Below are 7,717 nucleotides of genomic sequence, written 5' to 3'. Positions count from 1 at the left end.
AATTCCCATTCCCATTCCCATTCCATTCCCTTAAGGAATCCCAGTGATAGCTCATCAAAGAAGCACATGAATAGCTGACATTATGTAATGCTTTGACATTTGGCATTCCCAAGGCATTACCCCACCCCTGATGCAGAATAAGTTGTCAGAGCATGAAATTGGTATTTTTACATATTCTTAATGTACAGATGTCAGTCTGAAAACCATTCGCTAGTATTATGATTACATTCTTTGTCTCATTTTCTTTGTATGCCAAGATTTGTTTTTGTGATTTCTTTTCTTTTGGGAGTTTCAAAGAGGGAAGACAAAACTTTAATAATTCAGTTTACTGATGCCGCCAAAAGGAAAAAGCAAACTTTTAAGTCTCTGACCACTTTTGGCAATGATACTCCTGGCACAGAAGTAAAGATGTAACAAGAAGGAACAGATGCAAACTGGAAATACAATCAGTGGCCCACTCAGCTTGTTCCAAATCAAATATGCCTGCAGTTTACAAGTTTGTTACTCTGTGTTAATCACATAAATGAATAGCCTAGGCTTATGGGAGGAACCCTGTGCCTAAAAAATAATAACATTGTGGAAAATACACAAGATAAGAACCAGAAGGGATTTAGAAACACCCTGGTCCATTCTCCATGTATTCAGTGATGCAGGGGTGAGGGGGAAAATATATTCTAGGTGTGGTCAAGGAAGGTCTCCCTGAGGAGACGACATTAAGTGGAGACTTGAAGGAGAAGGAGCTGGGCATGCAGAAAGCCAGAGGGTAGAACATTCTAGGCAGAAGGAATAACAAGAACTAAGGGTCTGAGAAAATAATAATTCCTAACATTTATTTAACACTTAATATGTGCCTGGCGCTATTCTAAACACATTACATATATTACCTCACATATTCTTTTTTTTTTTCAGAGACTGGGTCTCACTCCGTCACCCAGACTGGAGTGCAGTGGCATGATCATACATAGCTCACTGCAGTCTCAAACTCCTGGGTTCAAGCGATCCTTTCGTCTTGGCTTCTCAAAGCACTGGGATTACAGGTGTGAGCCACGGAGCCCAGCCTACCTCATGTGTTCTTCACAGCAGCTCTATGAGGCAGAGAATATCATTGTCTCCATTCTATAGGTGGGGAAATGAAGCACACCACAGTTAGGTAACCTCCCCAAGGCTGAACAGCTAGTAAGTGCGAGAGCTGGGATTCTAACCCAGCAGTACAATTCCAGAGTCCATATGCTTAACCATTTTGCCATGCTGACAAAGTTGGGGCTGAACCCCTAGTCTCCTGACTTCTACTTCAATGCCTATCCCAGTTATATACATGTATATAGGTACTTATACACACTCCCAACTTTCCCTCTCAGGAGTCTATATAAACAAGGGACATCTGAAGGTGCCTTCTCTAATCAAGTTGCTAGAATTGAGATGCCCATGGGGAATCTGTGTTGGCACTCCACCCTGAGGGGCGCAGTCACCCTGAAGACATAGGCTTCATGTCTCATGTGGAAATTTCCTAGGTGTATCCCCCAGTGCAGGCAGCCCTGGGAAAACTGGTTGAAGATGGTGGCAAGGACAGAATCGATGGCTCATTGACAGTCTGTTTGGGGCCTGAGATGAAAGCTTAGGGCTATGGTAGATTCAGCTCAGTGATATGTGGTCAGAGTCGAGGCCATCCAAAGGAGAGAGGTCATGGACCATGGTTGTCATGAAAAACTTCTAGAACTGGCCAGAGCTCCACAAGGAAGGACTTGAGCTAAATTGGCAAGTTGTTAAGAGCTCCAGGTTGTTTGAGACCCATACTGCTTCCTACCTGCGTTTCACTTCATTCATTCATTTGTGCATTTAATTATTATTTTATCTGGCCATTTATTCATTCAACAAATTTTTACCCTGTGTCTGCCACATGCCATTCCTCTGCTAGGCAGTGAGATACAAAGATGTAGTCCCTATTCTAGAGGAGCTCAAAGTCTAGAGAGATGGGAGAGGGCATAGTTCAGAGAAGAATTCCTGGGGAAGGCAACACTGAATAGAGTCTCTCTGGAAAGAGTAGAGAGGGAAGACCAGTGAAGACAAAGGAAACAGCAAATGCAAAGCTACACTGACATGAGGGAGCCTGGCTCAGTTGGATACATGCAAATCTTGCTCATACACCATGAAAACTGAATATGGAGGGTGTGAGTATCAAGGGTATAGAGCAAAGCCAGAAAGAGAAATGTGCTACCCCGCCTTTGTTACAAGGCAGTGGTTAAGCAATACAGGAGAAAGTGGAGAGGATGCCGGCCTGGGGATCTGGAGACTGGGGTCCAACCTGAGCTCTGTGCTAATTGAGGAGGTGACCTTGGACAGGTCTCTTCTGCTCTCTGGACTTCAGTTTGACCCTTTGTAAAATGACAGGGTAGGATTATGGTGATGTCTTAGGGGCTGTCTTCCAGCTCTATCATTCTGTGATTCTAAATCCCTTTATAACAAACTCTAGGAGAGGAGCTTTTCTCTTGCAAATGGAGTGTAAAGTTAATCCTGCCTGTGCTGATGCTAACTAATGTGTGTGTGTGGTTTATCCCACTTCATTAAACCCTGACTCCCCACAGAGCAATGCATGAGGCAGCCCAGGCAGGTAAATACTAAAGTGTTGCTGAACTGGGTCTCCTAGTGGAAAATGATTTCCCCTAACTCTTTCTCAAGTTTACCAACACAAAGCATATAACCCCCATTTTCCACACTGTTACCTTGCCACATGTGCAGATTTTAGACCCAATCGTAGAGTATGGTAAGTCGTGTCCTCATACTTCATTTATGTCGGCATCCTCCACAACCCCCACCATGCTGCCAGTGACATCATCGTTTTCCATATGAAGAAACTAAAGCTCAGACAGATTAGACCACTTGGTAGGAGAGACACAGTCCCATGTGATGTGTGACCCATAAAGTGAGGGCAATGCTTCTGTTGACTGAATACTCGCCAAGGGGTGAAAAAATGACAAGCTTTCAGGTAAAGTTCCCAGGTGAAAAACTTCCCCAAGGTTCTTACCTTTTGTGAAGATCTTGCAGGTTCCAAGTCACTTTTTTCTTTTTTTTGAGACAGGCTGTCACTCTGGAGTGTAGTGACGTGATCTTGGCTTACTGCTGCCAGGTGATCCTCCTGCCTCAGCCTCCCGAGTTGCTGGGACTACAGGCATTACCTTGCCCAGTTAATTTTTTATTTTTTGTAGAGATGAGGATCTGCCATGTTGTCCAGGCTAGTCTTGAATTCTTGGTCTCAAGTGATCCTCCTGCCTCCACCTCCCAAAGTTCTGGGATTACAGATGTGAGCCACTACACCCAACCACTTTTTTTTTTAAGACTAAAAGAGAACACTCATTCTAGGTTGTCAGTTGAAAACAAATGCTAATTGTCTTGGGTTCCCTGAATTCTTCTTTTATTGTGAAGTATAGTGCAGATACTGAAAATGCAGAAAGCATATGTATATAGTTTAATGAATAATTAAAAGTGATCCCTGATAATCCCCATCCTAGTAAGGATATAGAATATAATGTTGGGTGAAAAACAAGACACAGAGAATACATCCAGTATAATCCCATTTATATGAAGTTAGTAAAACTGACAGGCTCGACGTTTGGCTGAAGCGGCCCACTCTTTGCATGGTCCTATGCTGTATCTAGACCTGACAAGACTTTGTCCTCTTTCACCTCACTGAGGATGAACCAACCCTCTGAGGACAGAGAGGGATAGAGGCATTGAATGTTAAAGCTGGAAGCCAGGCACAGTGGCTCATACCTGTAATCCCAGCACTTTGGGAGGCCAAGGCGGGCGGATCATGAGGTCAGGAGTTTGAGACCATCCTGGCCAACATGGTGAAACCCCGTTTCTACTAAAAATACAAAAATTAGCTGGGCATGGTCGCGGGCACCTGTAATCCCAGCTACTAGGGAGGCTGAGGCAGGAGAATCGCTTGAACCTGGGAGGCGGAGGTTGCAGTGAGCCGAGATCGTGCCACTGCACTCTAGCCTGGGAAACAGAGCAAGACTCTGTCTCAAAAAAAAAAAAAAAAAAAAAGCAGCTGGAAGGACTATCCTGTGACATTCATTCACTCAATCATTCTCATTTCTCAGATACTTTTGGGGATTTACTATGTAGGGGGTCTCTGAGGGATAAGGTATCGGGGATCTTTCATAGATCTTGTCTTGGAGGAACAGAAAAAGCTGGAATAAGTTGAGTCCTAAATGGAAGAAAGGAGTAGGGGTTGAGGAGGTGCCTGGCTCTGGGCCAGAACACACCCTCAGCCCCTCTGAAAGAGCTGGAGGGGTGGGACCCACCAAGGGTAGAAGGCAGAAGAGATTCCCTAGGCCTCAGGAAGAATGGGTACGCTACCGCAGATGAACCCAACCAGCCTCCCTGACCAGTCTCTGTATTCAGTCACCAAAGGATTTATGTGCAATGAATCCCAAAGGAATCAGAATTAGGCTGCAGAATGTGAGAGGAAGGCCCTGAGACTGCCTGCTCCAGTGCCTTTACTTTGTGGATAAAGAGACTAAGGTCCAGAGTGAAGTGACTTTTTTTTTTTTTTTTTTGAGATGGGAGTCTTGCTCAGCTGCCCAGGCTAGAGTGCAGTGGTGTGATCTCGGCTCACTGCAACCACCATCTCCCGGGTTCGAGTGATTCTCCCATCTCAGCCTCCGGAGTACCTGGGATTATAGGCACCTGTCATTATGCCCGACTAATTTTTGTATTGTTGTATAGATGGGGTTTCACTATGTTGGCCAGGCTGCTCTTGAACTCCTGACCTCAGGTGATCCACCCGCCTCAGCCTCCCAAAGTTCTAGGATTACAGGCGTGAGCCACTGCGCCTGGCATGGCTTTTCCAGTGTCCCCTGGATAGCTTGAGGGGAGCCCTAGGACTCAAATCCAGAATCCTGCCTCCCTTACCAGTGTTCTTCTTCTGCCCAGACACACAACAGTATTTTCCAAGATGAGTTTTTAGAATCATCAGTTTTGATGGTCATGAAATCTGGAAAAGATCTTAGTGGTAATCTGTCTAGTTCAGAGGGTCCCAAACCTGCCTGATCATCAAATCACATGAAAAATTTGTTTTTAAAATTGTAGATCCTGGGACCCCAGCCCCCAGAGATTAGGGTTTTGGGGTCTGATAGAACTGGAATTTAGTAGGGCAGTTTGGCCATGTGTATATTTTAAAGCTCCCACTTCCTACCCTCCACTTGCAGCTGATACTGATGATTAGCAGGTGGATGCTATCCAGTTAACAGAGGAAGAAACTGAGGCCCAGATTCGGCGAGGTAGAGTGACTGTGCAAGATCACATGTCATCCCATCACAAATTCTTCTATTGTTCAGAATAGAATTGAGCCAGGCTGCATGTCTAAGAGCCTTGACATATTAATAGTGTTTTCTCTCAATATTGTTTTTTTTTGGTGTACACGTTTCATTTTTTGAAGCTGCTTAAAAGATTCCTAGCCATGCTGCCAGGCACTCAGATTTGTGCAATGTTTACAATGACTTTGTTGTTCATTAAACAAATTTACCTAGACTAACCCAACATGAGAGAAATCATCTTGTTTACAGTGAGATCCTGACAAAAATACGTGTAGCAAAGACAGACAAACACACATAAACCTGGATTGCCGGGTGGGACATGATTTGCTGCCACATTCAATTTTTCTCATTAGAACTTGTTTTATTTGAGCATGACTCAGTACCCCGTGTAAATGCGAGGTTGTTAATCTTATTACTATATGGAAAACAAATTAATTAGTATGCATGCTTTTGAGATGAGTTTTTAGGTTGGTGTTGGAAAGATTAGGAAAATACACTCATTACTCCAAATGGTATCTGATAATACACATCTGACTTCCACTTTAAGATCTGTTCCAATATATGGGCAACAAATATAGCTAATAAAAATCAAGCTTTTGGGCTCAGCAGCTAAATGTTCATGTTGGCCAGATCTATACACATGTTGACCTTCTTTGTTTTAAAACAAAAGACACTTTGTCACTGTCCATCAGCCGGAGACTCACCTGCAACAGGCAGTTTCTCAGGTCCCAGCTCCCATCCAATATCCAAACTCAACTCAGAGTGACCTCTTTCCTCTGCTTGCCTACCATACTTCCTATCTCTTCCCAGTGCACCTGCTCCCTTCTTTCAGCAGCCATAATGAACACACCTCATTTTTGCAGGAAACTGTATGCTCCCCAAGGGTAGAGACTATCTTCCAATTGGAGATTTAAATGCGTATCGATCAGAATACCCCGCTGCAGGAAAAATATACGAAGAAGAACAAGGAAGCCCTTAAAGTACCAGTGTGGAACAATCACCAAGATATATCATTAAGCGGAAACATAACTCTGCAAGAATACGGTAACACTGATTACAAGGTTACCAGGGAGGTATACCGGGTGGTTGAGGGGCAGAGGTAGGAAGAGACTTCCGGGTGGTTGAGGGGCAGAGGTAGGAAGAGACTTTCCCTCAGGTTCTCTCTGTACCTTTTAAATTTGAGCCATATGTATGTACTCCCTAGTCCAAAAAGAAGAGCAAATTATAATTTAAAAGTAAAATCTAGTAAAAAGAAAATATTTGCTCAACATAAAACAACAGTGACCAAAACACACACACACACAAAAACCCCACCAAAACAAAATAAAAATAAACAAATGTCATTTGGGGTATTACACTTTGGAAAGTCCTTTAATAAATAAATCTGTTTCACATTAGCTTAGTGTTACCGAGACTTGTTTCACCAGGGAATTCCAAAAGAAACATAAGGTATCTAGTGTTTCTCAGATAGTTCTCACTGCTTTTAAAAAATACTCACTTATGGGCCAGATGCAGTGGCTCACGCCTGAAATCCCAACACTTTGGCAGGCTGAGGCAAGAGGATCACTTGAGCCTAGGAGTTTGAGACCAGCCTGGATAACATAGTGAAACCTCATTTCTACAGAAAATTAAAAAAAAAAAAAAAAAAAAAAAAAGAGGCAGGAGCATCACTTGAGCCCAGGAGGTTGAGGCTGCAATGAGACGTGATTGTGCCACTGCACTCTTACCTGGGCAACAGGAGTGAGAAAACAGAAACTATACTTATGAATATCTCACAAAACACAAGTGACCCACTGATGTGCTCTAGGCAACATTTTAAACCAGGGCATAGATCCTAACTCTGCTGCCAGCTCTGTGAATGAAACTGGGCAAGTCCTTTCCCTTCTTTGGGCCTCAGTTTCTCCATCTCCAAAATAAGCCAGTGGTATGAGATTCTCTCTGACATTCCTTCCAGCTTTGAAGGTGAGAGATTCTCCAGCAAAAAAAATATATCAAAAGTCTCCTCCAAACTAAGCACGTGCTTTAAGTAGCAATTGGAGGCTGGCAGAGGATGATGATACTTGTTAAAGAGAAGTTACAAACATACCTGATGTAAACACGTTTCCCAGCTTCTCCAAAAACCTGGGGGATTAAAAAACAAAATAAACCCCAGAAAACATTCCAGGAGGTTATAAGAAACCAATGCATCATCTTTGGTTCACGACAGTTGATGATATTACCAAAGTCTCAGCACTTCCACTTACTCACTGTCCAGCCTATTGGGGAAAACCCTGGTTTGAGACTCAGTTTCCTCAGCTATAAAATGGGTATAATAATTGCTTTGGCGCTTTCCCAAATTCTTGGTATAGGCACTTAATTTATGACAGCAACAGAGATAAGAGAATAGAGATCCTGCG

At 43.3% G+C, this 7,717-nt stretch overlaps 1 annotated feature.

Annotated features, from left to right (window-relative positions):
* Nucleotides 2,309–2,861: an enhancer, noted in NCBI's record as "NANOG-H3K4me1 hESC enhancer chr9:37053864-37054416 (GRCh37/hg19 assembly coordinates)". NCBI's record gives its function as "activates a minimal SCP1, AML or CMV promoter by ChIP-STARR-seq in primed H9 embryonic stem cells {active_cell/tissue: H9 hESC(primed)}" and the evidence as "EXISTENCE:reporter gene assay evidence [ECO:0000049][PMID:30033119]".

The sequence above is a fragment of the Homo sapiens genome, chromosome 9 (assembly GCF_000001405.40).
Source record: "Homo sapiens chromosome 9, GRCh38.p14 Primary Assembly".
NCBI classification, from domain to species: Eukaryota; Metazoa; Chordata; class Mammalia; order Primates; family Hominidae; genus Homo; species Homo sapiens.
The sequence above is the reverse complement of the archived record's forward strand: the minus strand, read 5'-3'. Positions and strand labels throughout refer to the sequence as shown.